The sequence below is a fragment of the Homo sapiens genome, chromosome 1, assembly GCF_000001405.40.
Source record: "Homo sapiens chromosome 1, GRCh38.p14 Primary Assembly".
Classification (NCBI taxonomy): Eukaryota; Metazoa; Chordata; class Mammalia; order Primates; family Hominidae; genus Homo; species Homo sapiens.
The window spans coordinates 185,161,981-185,178,881 of record NC_000001.11 but is presented as its reverse complement, the minus strand read 5'-3'; the positions used below and the strand labels follow the sequence as shown (position 1 = coordinate 185,178,881).

The following is a 16,901-nucleotide window of genomic DNA, read 5'->3' as shown; positions in this document are numbered from 1 at the left end:
AACATCAAACCTCACATGATATAACAACACACTTCACACACATAGGCTCATTATAGTTTTACTATTCCATGACCCTGAGAGTCATAATCCCTTCTCCATATAACTTTAAATCTCACTGATCTTTAAAGTTCTCTTTAAGAAGTGCCAAACAAGCCAGAGATTATTAACAGAACTTGTGGCTTTTGACATTCTACATCTCTTTATTCTCTTCCTTTGGTTACTATTACCCTTTGCTCTCTCTATTCATGGGCCACCTACAGTGACTACAATGAATTTTCCACCACCGAACAATCCAGAAAAGTTAATGCATTTAACTGTTTGCCTCCCCCACCATGCCTTATCAAATACATAGGTTGGGATAAAGCCTTTCATGAGAATGACAAAAGGGAATATCGTAACAAAGATAATAATGGTTCTATCTACCAAAGTGATTCCAAATGGAAAACACAATTATATTATTTCCCTGACTGTGGTTCAGTGGCTCTCTTCCATCTACGAGATAAAAACCAGTCTTTCCCATGATACGAAATCATCCATTGTCTAGAGACCCTGGCTTTCTCTCCAACTTCCTTTCCTATAGATTCTCTACCCATCTTGACTCTAGTCATACTGACAACCTATGTGCTCATGTACCTTCCTTCCATGCAATTTTACAACTCTGTGCCATTACATACACTGGCCCTCTACCCTAGCTGGACAGCATATCTAGTCCTCACCCCACATGTCCTTCGAGATGAGGTTTTAGAACCACCACTTTAGTGAGCCCTTCTTTAACTCACCCGGAGATTTATACTAACATCACACCCAATTTGTAGGACTGTGGTATTTACTTCACTATAGTACAATCATATTTTTTTTACTTACTAGTCTGCCTCCCTGGGAACTTCTTGAGGCTAATAATCATCTTACTCATTTCTAAATACCTAGTACCTAGAAAAATGCCTGATACATACTAGGTACCTTTAATAGATGTTTGATAAATGAACGAATTCCTACTTTAGTCTTGTAAGAATTAAATGTGATGCTGTTTTTAAAAGTAGCCGATAAACTATAAATCTCTAGGACATTAATTTTCAATGAGGGGGAGGTTTGCAATTTGAGAGGGGTCTATATCAAAGAACTATAAAACCTAAGAAACAAAAGAGTTATTTTTCCTTTAGAAAGCATAACTAAATCCAGAAAAAGAAAATACAATTATTTTCCTTGTAAAGTATACTCATTATTTTAGGAAAATAATTATCTACTGAGGAATTAGTGGGTAAAACATAAAAACAAACAGGGTATTAAGATGATTATCTGCTGTCAATAATATGCTGAAGATAATATACACAAGATAAGGACAATATTTACTTGCTGTTTCTGTGTCTAAATGACTTTAAGCCTGATAATGCTGCTATCTGAGAACAGTTTATAAAGAGTCTAAATTCCAATAACTGGAAAGTGGTCATGGAAAAACTGCTTCTTCTGCAACTTAATATTCTTGCTATGTACCTCTTTTGGTTTGTGTAGTAATTCTACATAGAGACCAAAAGAAACCATACGACGCCCTGCAGAGATTTCTCATGCTATTCCTTAGATGTATAGCACAATGGGAAAACCAGGCAATGACACAATGATGATCACTGAACATACTGGCAACTTCAAGTTCCTTTCTTTCATTCTACTCTAGAGAAATGGTTATAACACAAGAAGAAAAACTGGAGGTTCTTTCCTTTAAGAAAGCAGTGAAAACAAACTCAATTCAAACTCAATTCTTGCCCTCTTTGGGCCCCTTCCAGTTCACTTAAACTAAAAATACTAATTCCCAAGCTCTTCTGGCCTCCTTAGTTATAATTCCTCCATTTTTCGTAAGAAATATCTTACCATTGCAATCCATAGTCTTTTTTTTTTTTTTTTTTAAGACGGAGTCTTGCTCTGTCGCCCAGGCTGGAGTGCAGTGGCGCGATCTTGGCTCACTGCAAGGGCCGCCTCCCAGGTTCACGCCATTCTCCTGCCTCAATCTCCCAAGTAGCTGGGACTACAGGTGCCTGCCACCATGCCCAGCTAATTTTTTGTATTTTTAGTAGAGATGATGTTTCACTGTGTTAGCCAGGATGGTCTCGATCTCCTGACCTCGTGATCCGCCCACCTCGGCCTCCCAAAGTGCTGGGATTACAGGTGTGAGGCACCAGGCCTGGCCACAGTCCACAGTCTTAATACCTAAAAGCAGGTAGGCTTAACCATCCCTGTTTATCAGTGGTCTCTACATTTCAGAATTTCTGAAGTTCTAAAATTCCAAGGTTCCACAGTTCTGAAAGTTCTCTTGAAGATAAGTAACTTTATTTGACATAGAAACAAAATTATAGAGATTAGGTTCTCAAAGTAGTCCATAAATGGCAATTACATTACATAATTTTAAAGCAAAATAGATGTGCCAAGCTTTCTAGCCTAGATCCCTGCTCATGTAGCTCCCTCTGCCTAAAATATCCCGGCTTCTCCCATTCTACCTCACTTCACCTCCACTTAAGTAACTTCGACTCATTCTTTAGGTCTGTTTAAATGTTACTCCCTCCAGCCTCCAGTAAATCTTTTTTTTTTTTTTTTTTTTTTTTTTTTGGAGACAAGGTCTCTTTCTGTCACCTAGGTTGGAGTGCAGTTACATGATCAGCTCACCATAACCTTGAGCTCCTGGGCTCAAGTGATCCTCCCACCTCAGTCACCTGAATAGCTGGGACCACAGACTCACGCCACCACACCCAGCTAATTTTTATGTTTTTGTTGAGACCCGTCTCGGTATGTTGCCCAGGCTGGTCTTGAATTCCTGGCCTCAGACAATCTGCCTGCCTGGGCCTCCCAAAACACTGGGATTACAGGCGTGAGCCATTGTATCCAGTCCCCTCCAGTATACCTTTCTAAACTAATTCTTTCATGATGTACCAAAGCTATATTAATCCCCTGCTGTGTATTCTCTTATTAAGTGATAGGTATTATACTTTTCCTATTTAAGGAAATTGCTTGTGTCTCTCTTCACTTGAATAAGTCCCTGAAAACAAACTGTGTTATCTCTTACAAGCTATTTTATTGTGGTGCCTGGTACACGGTGACACTGAAAAAAATAAACTGTTTAAAGACTATTCAGAATATTGTCCCGAGTGTTCTCCAGCATACAATGCTTTTTTCAAAGGACTATCTATAACTGCTTCTCACCACATTTTTACACATTCCTTTCTATTATGAATCCTTGATACCTGCCAAAATATCTTCCTAAAAAAGTTGGAATTAAAGAGAGTAAAATAAAGAAACCAACACATATCTTCATGAATAAATTTGAATCAGCCATCTATGATTATCATCAGTAATAGAAACAACTAAAAAGGCCATGTGCAGTGGCTCACGTCTGTAATCCCTGCACTTTGGGAGGCTGAGCAGGGGCGAACTGCTTCAGCCCAGGAGTTCAAGACCAGCCTAAGCAACATGGTGAAACCTCATCTCTGCAAAAAACACCAAAGTTAGCCCAGTGCGGTGATGTGTGCCTATAGTCCCAGCTACTAGGGAGGCTGAGGCAGGAGGATTGCTTGAACCCAGGAGGTCAAGGCTGCAGTGAGCCAGGATCGTGCCACTGCATGCACTCCAGCTTGGGCAACGGAGTGAGACCCTGTCTCAAAAACAAAAAACAAACAACAACAAAAAAAAAAAAAAACAGAAAAAAATATAGAAATACAGAAAAAACTTAACTATATTAATAAACTCTCAGTTAAAACCTATATTCTTCATTTTTTACTACCTTACCTGGGTTAGGTTTTCCCTAGAATGTGAATCATTACTTTCTTGATGGTCATAATGATGTTTTCGTTTCCACTCATGAACAGTCCGCTTATATGTAAAATCTGAAAGTAAATGTTCAGTTTTCTGCCTAGTCACATTTAATGAAACCTGGGAGCTTTCCAGGTATTCTCTTTCTTCCTGCTTAGTCTTCGAATTATTAGAATCTATGTTGAAGACATTTTCTTCTACAAGTTTCTGGAGGGTGTCACGGGATTTTATAGGGATTTTGAAACTGATCTTCTGTCTTCTAGATCCCAAGGGTTCCTTAATTATCTTGTTGGAGTTATAATCCTGAGAAAATTGATTTCTCTTCCATTTCTCTAAGACACATTTTTCAGAATTGTCTCTAAATTTACTGTTTCTTCCTTTCTTGAGTTCTTTCATCTTCTCTCTCTGAACAAGTAAATGAGACCATTTATTTTCACTTGCCTGGCCTTCGGCTTTAGGTTTCACATCACTGGCAATCTTAGGACTACTAAGGCTTTTAATTCCATGGTCAAGCTTGCTCCCAGCATTTGTCAATTTGATATCTTTAGGTTTAAAGTCTACACATTTATGTATGTCTTTTTTAGTTCCATTTGAAGAAGGACTCTGCAAAATAATTTGATTATCATTTGAATATGATGCTTCTTTGAGTTTAATAGGTCTTTGGGATGAAGAACCGATTTTTGGTCTCCTTCTGAGAGTGTCAATTTCTACACTCAATCTGTAAAACAGCACAGAAACCTAGGTTACATTATAATTATACATAATGTTGCACTCTATCATTTTAGTTAGAATAACAGAATTGGGCTGACATTAAGCTTCATAAAAAGTAGAAATAGCTACATTAAGAATGAAGTGGAAAGGATTACTCACTTAATGGTGTTAGAATAATTAGTTTGCTATTTGGAAAAAAAAATTACAACTTTAAATAGTAACAAACAACATAAATTCCAAATGGACTAAATGCTTAAGTGTAAAATAATTATTATTATCATAATAATTTTGTGCTTCATATTAAACCCTTAAAAACCAGTGAGGAAAAACAGAACGTATGTGTGATTTCATTTTTTTTGAGACGGGTTCTCACTCTGTTGCCTAGGCTAGAGTGCAGTGATGCAAACATGGCTCACTGCAGCTTCAACCTCCCAGGCTCAGGAAATCCTTCTACCTCCCAGACTACCACGTAACTGGGACTACAGGAGCATGCCACAATGCCTAGCTAATTTTTGTAATTTTTTTGTAGTGACAAGGTTTTGCTATGTTGCCCAGGCTGGTCTCAAACTCCTGGGCTCAAGCAATCCACTTGCCTCGGCCTCCCAAGGTGCTGGGATTACAGGTGTGAGCCACTGTACCCCGGCCTATCCGATTTCTCTTTTTCTTTTTTTGAGACAGCGCCTCACTTTGTCACCAGGCTGGAGTGCAGTGGCGCGATCTTGGCTCACTCCAAACTCAACATATCAGGCTCAAGAGATCCTCCTGCCTCAGCCTCCTGAGTAGCTGGCACTACAGATGCACACTACCACATCTGGCTAATTTTTGTATTTTTTTTTTTTTTTTTTTTTGGTAGAGACAGGGTTTCACCATGTTGCCCAGGCTGGTCGAACTCCTGGGCTCAAGCAATCTGCCCACCTTAGCCTCCCCAGTGTGCTGAGGCTACAGGCATGAGCCACTACGCCCAACCTGATTTCTTAATAGAGAACTTCCCAAACTTAAAAACAGTGGGAGAAATAACAAAGGATAACACTGATAATATGTGACTATTTACTTTAAAACTTTAGCGTATTAAAAATTAATAAAAATTTAAAGAACTAGGAAATGGTATTTGTTAGATGTACTAACTTCTAGCAAAATAATGTTAATAAGCTTACTAGCCTTAGTAGATAAAAAGCTCACCAAAAACTACTAAGATTCTAGAATAGGGCATAAACAGAAAATTAATAAAAGAAAACAGCTAATAAACATTTTTAAAAAGTTTGACTTCTCTAGCAATCACAGACATGCTAATAATAACAATAACATACCATTTTCTTCTTTTTTTTTTTTTTTTTTTGAGACGGAGTCTCGCTTTGTCGCCAGGCTGGACTGCAGTGGTGCAATCTTGGCTCACCACAACCTCCGCCTCCCAGGTTCAAGCGATTCCCCTGCCTCAGCCTCCCAAGTAGCTGGGACTACAGGCACACACCACCACGCCCGGCTAGTTTTTTGTATTTTAGTAGAGACGGGGTTTCATCATGTTGGCCAGGATGGTCTCGATTTGACCTCGTGATCTGCCCACCTCGGCCTCCCAAAGTGCTGGGATTACAGGTGTGAGCCACCGCAGCTGGCCCATACCATTTTCTTCTATCAAATTAGCAAAGATTTTACAATAACATCAAATACTCGCAAGGGGTTGTAAAATGGACACTCTCACATGTTGCTGGTAGAAATGTAAAACAACATAACAGTCCCACAAAGAAATGTGAATATAAATTAAAAACTCTAAAAATGGTCATTTTTTTACATCTGAAATTCTCATTTTAGAAACCATACCAAGGTGAAGAAAATCACACATGAAAAAAATATTAAAAGATATTTAATTCAGGATTACTTATAATAGCAAAACAATCAGGTACAAAGTAACTGCTAAAATTTTGGAAATGACTTTAAAAAGTGACATATTCATATGACGGAATATCACAGTTTTTTAAAAGGATGTTTATGAAAAGTCTTCAGTGACATAAAACATATTGAAAATCAAAAACAAGCAGGATACAAATCTGTACATATAATATGGTCTCAACATCTTAAACAAGCATAGTAAAAAGGCCAGAAAGGTGCTAAAATGTTAGAAACAGCAATAGCTAGAGGTGATAATTATATTTTCCTGCTTAATAAAAGTAGATATTACTTTGTAGTGAGAAAAAAAGGGGAAAAATGTCAAACACAATCTATTAATTTATATCAGTAAATGTGTGCCTTTTCAGTGCCATCACTCTGGTAGGCACCCAAGAGGCAGTAGAGGACACAGCAGATAGAGTCTTTACCCTTAATTAGGTTACAGCCCAGCAAGAGAGACACATTTAACAAGTGACTTCTCAAATAATTAATTATGTAAGAGCAAACCATAAACAGAGTTTTTATAGGAGTTTCACCTGAGTTTTCATCATATATGCATGCATGAATGTAGGTATGTCTTTGTTGGTTTGACAGAGTCTCAATCTATCACCCAGGCTGAAGTGCAGTGGTGGCATGCGCCTGTAGTCCCAGCTACTTACTTGGGAGGCTGAAGTGGGAGGATCACTTGAGCCCAAGAGTTGGAGGCTGCAGTGAGCCGAGACTGTGCCACTGCACTCCAGCCTAGGCAACAGAAAAAAAAAATGCCCTTTCTGCCTTCACTGCCACCATGGCATCCATGAAAAACCTTGTGGTAAAGGGGGGCAAAAAAAAAAGAAGCAGGTTCTGAAGTTCACTCTTGATTGCACCCACCCCATAGAAGACGGATCATGGATGCTGCCAATTTTGAGCAGTTTTTGCAAGAGAGGATCAAAGTGAGCAGAAAAGCTAGGAATGTCATTGGAGGGGTTGTGATCAAAAGGAGCAAGGGCAAGATCACCATGACTTCCGAGATGCCTCTTCCCAAAAGGTATTTGAAATAAGAAATATTTGAAGAAGAACAATCTACGTGATTGGACGTGCGTAACTGCTAACAGCAAAAGGGGTTATGAATTACGTTACTTCCAAATTAACCAGAACAAACAAGAGGAGGAAGACGAGGATTAAAATTCACTTATGTGGAATATTTTATACGAATTCTTGAATAAAACTTGGGAACCAAAATGGTGGTTCATCCTTGTATCTGTGCAGTATGGATTGAACAGAAAATTAGAAATCACAGTCAAAGGGCTTCATTCGGGATGCCATGCACTCATTTGTAACTAGACTTTTTTTTTTTTCCTGTTTGAAAATTTCAATTCTAATGGTAATACCAGAATAGAAGGAGACGGTGACTTTAGGGGAACTGACAACCATTGGGCAGGTAGATGAGGGTGGGGAGATGTAGGCTAGAGGTAGTCACTGTTTTATTTTAAAAAGTGTGACTGTCAATCGTCTCTGGTGCTTTTCTCAAAAAATGATTCAGGAATACAAGTGGGCTTCTCTCATTACTTAAAAGAAAACAGGTGACGTCTGCCTAAGATTCCCTGTGGAAAATGACAGTGTCAATAAAATGCAGGTTTCTGGGCCCTTCATCTTTCTTTTTTTATTATAAATTTGTCTTGATGTACACAATTATGTATACTAATCCTTTTCTTCCTATAGTCCTATAGAAAGAAACAGTGCTCCTTCAGCACTGCTGCATAGTCCATCACCCACCATAAAAGGTCTGGACAACGACTGTTAAAAAGTCCCAGGTTCTAAATTAAGTAAATGCGTACAAGAATGAGTTTATACATAATCTGTTTCTACAGGTCTTTGCAACAAACTGTCACTTTGGTTTCCAGCAGAGGGAGCTAGAGGAATAGAGCTTCCAGATGTGGCCTCCTGTGTGGGACCCAGAGTTAGGGGCCCTTTGTGCCGAGAGCTCTGGAGGCTCTCCTGAATGGGGGCACGAAGAAGTCACTGGGAAACCTCCCATGCCAAGGAGACATGAGGTACCCAGGGAACAGCTGCTTCATGCTACTTAGGCCATGACAGGATTTAATGTCAGAAGTCATTGTACAAACAGTGGTGTGCCTCAGTGCGTACAAAGGCTAGAGAACCACCAGAGGGGGCTACCAAAGTTAGGAAGACAGAATTGTTGCAGCCAGTGACTTTGAAAGAGACCCTGATGCCTTGTGGTGCCCTTCAGAAACTGGAACAATAACGCAGAAGTGTCTGCTCTGTTTTAGAATTTACGGTGTATAAAATTCAGGTTTTTAAAAGAGCTTGCCTACAGTTGGTTTCCACACCTGAAACTGTTGTGCTCTGAGAGTTGCAAAGCTGAAAATTGAATGTTCAAATTCTACCTTGGCTCCAATTTAACATTTGGTGCTTTGTGGATTGAGTTGAACATGCTGAGGCTTTGCAATTTCACTTATGGTAACGGCTCTAGCATTTTCTCTTTCTGTGCAAATTTCTTTGAAGCAGAATTGCTTGCATATTTCTTCTCTGCCTTCAGAGAAGGCAGTTTCTTTCAGACTTCACTGAGGCATCAATAGCTCTTTGGCAATGTCCCTTACCATGATCATTAACTCATTAACTATAAGTTTGTGCCTTGAGTTTACAAATTTTACTTGTGTGTTGCATTGATGTTCCCATGTAGTAATTTTTAGTTTAGCTGTAAAAAAAAAAAAAAATTAATCCTGGGCTGAAGTTAGCATTTAAGTTCTGAAAAAAAAATTGTGTGTGTAGAGATGGGGTCTCACTACATCGCCCAGGCTGGTCTCAAACTCCTGGCCTCAAGCCTTCCTCCCACCTCGGCCTCCCAAAGTGCTGGGAATACAGGTATGACCCATTGTGCCCAGCTTCTTGCTTATATTTTTACTGCTAATACATTTCTATGTATTCAAATCATGGAACAGGAATTACAGTAATGGTGCACTGTAACCGCCTTTCCAAATGATAAAATTATCTCTAATTTTTCATCTGTATTATGGCTTTCACTGTTTGCACACCAATTTCAGAAACTTCTCTAGAGCTGAATTAATACGGAGATTTTTATAAAACATTTTATATTTTACCCTCTTGTATATATTGATATAATATCAAGGGCCAAAAAATGTGTCCTTAAACAAAAGGTAACTAGTTTAAAGTCAAATAGTGTTTTAGAACTTAAAATTTAAAAAAAAAAAAAAAAAGGATATCAGTGTAAAAGGCATTAAAATGGTTCAAAAAATGTAGCAAGGGATAGTCAACATAATATGAAATTAGTGCAAGAATATACTTCAACAGAGAATAACACAGAAGCAAAGTATCAGGAGATGATTCAGAAGAAAAAGTGAACAAAAGACAGAGGCGAGTTGAATTTTTTTGTTTTTAGCAAACACTAACTGAGATTGTTTGGGAAGCAGAGCTTTTATTTGTAATATTTAATGCCATCTTACTTGTTTTCCCTTAACTTCTTATTTTTGGAGAAACCTTGATCTTACCAAGTTTTATCACACGTTATAACTTTGTATACTTATTTATCCCCATTAGCAGCAAGTACTTTCTGCACCAAAATTTCACTGAAATTTTTATCCAAAAAGTGCAGAAATTAAAGAATAATAATTTCCATTATTCCAACCATCATTCCCCAAGTTCTCTAGCTATAATCACATACTGGTTAATCAACACGGTTTTAAAGCCATATCAATTCTATAAGATACATACTCTCTTCACGGGTAATATATGAAAATGATTTATCCAAAATCTCTAAATTAGCCTCATAACTTACTTCACTAGTGTATGTAATGAAGTTACGCATGTTACAATCATGTGCCAAAATCAAATCACTTGAGATTAAAATGCACATTTGAGTGTCATTTACACAATAGTTTTCATAGATTTTTATTTCACTCAACTTTTTCTTAAATATAGTTAATATTAAGACAATTCTATAATCATAATCAGTTATATAGCTAGAGATATTTGCATGCAAAGCAGTCCTCTTCAAAGTAAATAAAAAAAATTTTTAAATCCAAATATTTAGTCTCATAATTCTAAACCAAAACAGTAAAAAGAAAAAGGAGAAATTTACCTTTTCAGTCCTTGTCTTCTTTTTATATTATAGTACAGAACATCTGTATGATCTGATTTCTGAAATAAATAAAAAAAGGACACATAAATTGTGCACTGGTACATATTTTTTTCCACAGTTTATGATAGTGAATAGGCTGACACAATACTTTTACTTAATCTTTCCAGTAATCCGGTGAGATGGATATTATCATCATCCCCGTTTCACAAAACTCAAACAGAGGTAGGCATCTTCCTTAAAGTCACAGAGCAAGTCCACAGCAGAGCAGTCATCTGTCATCTGTAAATAGATCTGTCTGACTCTCTCTACGCTACCATCCTATCTCTCTACGTACTCTGAGGAAACTGGGCCAAGCACAAGAAAGGTAAGAGAGACATAAAATATAATCCATGTCCTAAAGAGCTTAGAGCTTATAGTTTTACATAAAATAATAAAGACGAGAAGTAGAACATGTACAAATAACCTACTATAATGATGTAAGTAAGTGTCAAAGCAGAAGAGTCAAAAAGTGCTAAAACAGTTCAAAATACCAACCACCTAAAGAGGAAAAGTACCTAGGAAAACAGGTGGACAAAATAACAATAAATAATAAAGCTTGAAAGACGAGTAAAAGAAGGCATTCTGAGAAACTGAGGATAACTGGTATAAATTCAGCAGAAAGAAAATAAACCAGCCTAGCGAAAGGCAAGAGGGCCTCTTTCAAGGAAGAAGGGAAAACAACAAAAAAAAGAAAACTGGATAGTTAAGGTATGAACAAATTTGAGAGAGCCCTGAATGGCAAATAGTGAGTAAAGATTTTCAGCAGAGGAGAAATGGGATGAAATCGGTGTTTCAAGAAGGTTAATATTGCAAAAATAAATAGAAACCGCAGCTTAATTATATGAAAACAAGTAAATTCTTAAAACATAATTCTGCATCCCTGGAACTTCCACTACCTTATCTTATACCCACCACAACTATGTAGCTATCCTGGATATGTACATAACTTCAACCTGAATGTTCTAAGTACATTACCACTAACCTATGGATTAGCGTATTGTGTTTAATCTGCTGTCACTGTTTCTAACTATTTGTATGACAGTGGAAAGAACTCTGGACTTGGCTCTGTTGCTGTACACAGTTTTGTGGCCTTGGAAAAGTCACTTAACCTTCTAGACTTCGATTTCTGAATCTGAAAATGCAAACAATGTATCTGCCTTGGCTACCTCAAAAGGAGACAAATATAACCTCTGGGAGGCTGAGGCGGGCAGATCACTTGAGGTCAGGAGTTTGAGACCATCCTGGTCAACAAGGTAAAACCCTTTCTCTACTAAAAATACAAAAATTAGCTGAGCCTGGTGGTGCACGCCTGTAATCCCAGCTACTAAGGAGCCTGAGGCAGGAGAATCGCTTGAACACAGGAGGTAGAGGTTGCAGTGAGCCAAGGTGGCACCACTGCACTCCAGCCTGGGGCAACAGAGTAAGACTCTGTCTCAAAAAAAATATATATATATAAAACCATATATATGTGAGAGGACTTAAGAACTGTCTAAATTTATAGCCATGACAGTTGTCTAATCCCACATGGTAGGGCCTAACAGTACAAGAAATAATAAAACTTGATAAATGGTTTGGTGAGTAGAAGAAAGAAAACAACACTGACTTTCTATTGGCTATCAAAAAGTATAGGAGGAATTTATATCACAAACACTGTCGATTAAAACTTTAGCATAAATAACTTTTAGTTAGTTATATCTAGACACTCACCAGTTTTCTCTTTTCTGATGAAACTGATCTTATAGAAGATGAACTAGTAGAACTTGCTGGGGTTTTTCTCTCTTTCTTGTCCTAAGAATGCAATAAAGAAAATGAATTTTAAAAAGCACAAAATAAAGCATAGTATAAACAGAACTATTTCATCACTAGTATTACAAATCAACATTTACATTCAATAATGAACTTCGGTGGGGAACAATGTTTACAGATACACAAACTTTGGTAAAAGGAAGGGAGATTCAACTAGAAGCCAGAACCCCTAAATGCTCACAAAATAGAGATGAGGTGGGATATAGGTATCAGAGCAGGAAGCCAGCTGACAGCTCAGATAAGGTTGTTGTGAGGTGGCACTGCCATGGTGAGAGTCAGTCTTCTACAATGCAAAACCACACATCCACTTATTTTTCACTGGATTCTGAATTCAACAGACCTAGGACAAACTTGTTTGAAGTACCTACCATGTACCAAAGACATTCTAGACAGTGGAGAGAGAGGAATGAAAAAATAATAACAGTTCTTCATGAAGGTCAAAATCTAGTACAGGAATTTACAAATAAACAAGTAATATATTTAGTGTGTCAGACGATGCTGTGGAAAAAAATAAAGCAGAGAAAGGAAACAGGAAGGGCTGGGAGTCAGTAAAGCAGAGAAAGGAAACAGAAAAGGCTGGGAGTCAGAGGGGAAGACTCGCCATTTTAAACAGAGTAGTCAGACCCCAGGTACGAGCTGACATCTGAATGGAGACCTAAATAAAGTGAAGAAACAAACCATTAGAATACTGAGGGAAAGAGTTTTTTCAGCTCAAAGGGGATGCCAGCAAGGGCAAAGCCCCAGAGGCAGAAACATGCCTGGCTTGTTGGGACAGCAGCAAGGAGGCCATGGAGTAGAAAAGCAAATTATGTCAGGAGAGTGTCAGGGGGATGGGATGGGGAGAGGAGGTGGCTTTGTCAACCCTGGTAAGGATTTTGGCTTTTATTCTGGATGAAGTGGAAAAACACTGGAAAGTATTTAGCAGAGGAGTAACATGATTGTACTTATATTTTAATAGGACCACATTAGCTAGTGTGTTGAGAACAGACTATAAGGAAGCAAATGCAGAAGTAGGGAGGTTATTTTGGAAACTATTACAATAATTTAGGAAAACAAGGTGCTTGGATCATGGACATAGCAGTAAAGGAGATAGTCAGACTCTGAACACCAGTATACATCATTTTATTGTGGCTTGCTTTATTGTACTTCATAGATAATTGCATTATTTACAAATTGAAGGTTTATGGCAAGTCTATTAGCACCATTTTTCCAACAGTATGTGCTCACTTCATGTCTCTGTGTCACACTTTGGTAATTCTCACAGTATTTCAAATGTTTTCATTGTTGTTATACTGCTATGGGACCTGTGATCAATGATCTTTAATGTTATTATTATAGTTGCTTTGGGGCGCCACAGACTGCCCATATGAGACAGCAAACTTCACTGATAAATGTTGCATGTGTTCTGTTTCACCAATCACCCATTCGCCAGTCTCTCTCCCTCTCCTCAGGCCTCTCTATTCCCTGAGACAAAAGAATACTGAAATTAAGCCTACTAATGACCCAACAATGACCTCTAAGTGTTCAAGTGAAAGGAAGAATTATAAGTCTCTCACTTTAAATCAAAGCTAGAAAGGATTACACTTACTGAGGAAGGTATGTCAAAAGCCAACACAGGCTGAAAGCTAGTCTTGTGCCAAACAATTAAGACAAGTTATGAATGCAAAGGAAAAGTTATTGAAGGAAATTAAAAGCACTACTCCAGCGAACACATAAATAATAAGAAAGCAAAACAGCCCTATTACTGATATTGGGCAAGTTTTGAGTGGTTTGGATAGAAAATCAAACCAGCCACAACATTCCCTTTAGCCAAAGCCAAATCCAGAGCTAGGCCCTAACTCTCTTCAATTCTATGAAGGCTCACAGATGTGAGGAAGCTTCAGAAGAAAACTTGGAAGCTAGCAGAGAGGTTGGTTCATGAGGTTTAAGGAATGAAGCCATCTCTGTAACATAAAAGTACAAGGTGAAACAGCAAATGCTAACATAGAAGCTACAGCAAGTTATACAAAAAACCTAGTTGAGATCATTGATGAAGGTGGTTGCTACACTAAACAACGGATTTTCAACATAGACAAACAGTCTTATATTGAAAGATGATGCCATCTGGGACTTTCATAGCTAGAGAGATGTCAATGCCTGGCTTCAAAGGAAAGGCTGACTCTGGTTAGGGGCTAATGCAGTTGGTGACTTTCAGTTGAAGCCAATACTTACTTATCATTCAGAAAATCCTAGGTACCTTAAGAATGATGTTAAATCTACTCTGCCTGTGCTCTAGAAATGAAACAACAAAGCCTGGATGACAGCACATGTGTTTACAGCATGATTTACTGAATATCTTAAGCTCACTGTTGAGACCTACTGTTCAGAAAAAAAAAAAAAAGATTCCTTTCAAAATATTACTGCTCACTGGTAATGCACCTGGTCACCCAAGAGCTCTGATGGAGATGTACAAAGAGATGAATGTTGTTTTCACGCTTGCTAATGCAACATCCATTCTGCAGTCCATAGATCAAGGAGTCTAACTTTAACTTTCACACCTGATTATTTAAAAAATACATATTGTAAGGCTATATAGCTGCCATAGACAGTGATTCCTCTGATGGATCCAGGCAAAGTAAATTGAAAACCTTCTAGAAAGGATTCCCCATTCTAGATGCCATTTAGAACACTCATGATTTGTGGGAGTAGGTCAAAATACCAACATTAACAGGAGTTTGGAAAAGTTGATTCCAAACCTCATGAATGACTTTGAGCAGTTCAAGACTTCAGTGGAGAAAATAACTGCAAGAGAACTAGAATTTGAAGTAGAGGTTGAAAATGTGTCTGAATTTCTATCATCTCATAATAAAACTTTAATGGGGGCTGGGTGCGGTGGCTCACGCCTGTAATCCCAGCACTTTGGGAGGCCGACGTAGGCAGATCACAAGGTCAGGAATTCAAGACCAGCCTGGCCAACACAGTGAAACCCCATCTCTACTAAAAATATTAAAAAATTAGCTGGGCATGGTGGCGGGTGCCTGTAGTCCCATCTACTTGGGAGGCTGAGGCAAGAAAATCGCCTGAACCCAGGAGGCAGAGGTTGCAGTGGGCCAAGATCGCACCACTGTACTCCAGCCTGGGAGACACAGTGAGACTCTGTTTCAAAAAAAAAAAAAAAAAAGCTTTCATGGATTAGGAGTTGCTTCTTATAAATGAGCAATGAAACTGGTTTCTTGAGATTGATTTCTACTCCTGGTGAAGATGCCATGCACACTGTTGAAATGAGAACAAATGATTTAGAATAATATTACATAGGGTTTGAGAGACTAACTCCAATTTTGAAAGTTCTGCTGTAAAATGTTATCAAACTGAATTGCATGCTACAGAGATCAATCTTTTGTGAAAGGAGAGTCAATGTGGCAAACTTCATTGCTGTCTTAAGACGCTGCCACAGCACCCCATCCTTCCGTAATTACCACTCTGATCAGTTAGCAAGCCATCAACATCACGGCAAGTCCCTCCAGCAGCAAAGATTATGACTCTCTGAAGACTCAAATGATCTTTAGCATTTTTTTAGCAATGAAGTATTTTTTAAATTTATTATTACTACTTTTAGAGATGGGGTCTTGCTCTGCTGCTCAGGCTGATGTGCAGTGGCACGATTCTCAGGCAGGAGGATCCCTTGAGCCTCAAACTCCTGGGCTCAAGGGATCCTCCCGCCTGAGCCTATTTTTAAATTAACATATGCACATTTTTTTAGACATAATGCCATTGTACACTTAATAGACTACCGTATAGTATAAACATAATTTTTATATGTACTGGATAAACAAAAAATTCATGTGACTCACTTTACTGCACTATTTGCTTTACTACACTGGTCTGGAACTGAACCCAAAATATCTCCAAGGTATGCCTATACATTATAAAAAGAAAGCTGATAGAATTTGCTGATAGGTGCAGGTAGAGCACGATCACAAGGATTTCAGCCTAAGCAACTCAAAGAATGGAATCACAATTTATTAAATTGGGAAAACGAAGCCTGGGTACCTGAAAGATTACAGTTTTATAAGATGAGGAGGAACTAGCAAAGGACACTGAGAAGCAGTCACCAATAAGGAGGAAAATCAGGAGAATATGGTATCTCTAAAGCTAGGTGAATTCCCTAGCAAGCAGACTCAGAGAAAAACAAAAAGCTTTGTGAAAGTGTTTCGAGGAGAAGGTGTAATTAGCTATGTCAAATACTGCTGATATGCCATGTCAGATGAGGTCTTAGAAATGACCAATGGATTTAGCAACACAGAAACCACTGCTATAGGAGTTACGGAAAGAAAAAGTCTGACTAAACCTTTTTAGTTTAGTAGTTTTAAGTAGGTTTAAGGAATGAGGGGTTAATTGCAAACAGCATGCCAGTTAATAATGACAAATGGAGATGCTGAGTATATAAATTACACAGAGTACTGTATGGCCATGCTTCAGTGTTGCCTTTCCACATATTGCTATACCTGCGAGACCAAATTTGTAATCAGAAAGTTAGTAAGTAAGCAAGGAACAAACACCAAAAAGCACACTATCTGGAACTTCATCCAGGTCA

The 16,901-nt window shown here is 38.2% G+C and overlaps 1 protein-coding gene and 1 pseudogene across 15 annotated transcripts in view; one reads left to right on the top strand and one right to left on the bottom strand.

Moving 5' to 3' along the window:
- SWT1 (SWT1 RNA endoribonuclease homolog) overlaps positions 1 to 16,901 on the bottom strand; it is a 134,722-nt gene that overhangs the window by 112,900 nt on the left and 4,921 nt on the right. For 14 of the 15 annotated variants that reach the window (XM_005245271.3, NM_001105518.2, XM_047423246.1 and 11 more), the window contains exons 3-5: positions 12,230 to 12,310; positions 10,484 to 10,542; positions 3,769 to 4,510 (exon numbers count right to left, since the gene is read on the bottom strand). In XM_005245271.3, coding sequence (XP_005245328.1) covers positions 3,769 to 4,510; positions 10,484 to 10,542; positions 12,230 to 12,310 — 882 coding nt within the window. Of the gene's footprint in view, positions 1 to 3,768; positions 4,511 to 8,771; positions 9,083 to 10,483; positions 10,543 to 12,229; positions 12,311 to 16,901 lie in introns of those variants that run through there. The other variant, XM_047423248.1, reaches the window with a different exon arrangement.
- On the top strand, positions 7,150 to 7,843 carry RPL22P24 (ribosomal protein L22 pseudogene 24; annotated as a pseudogene).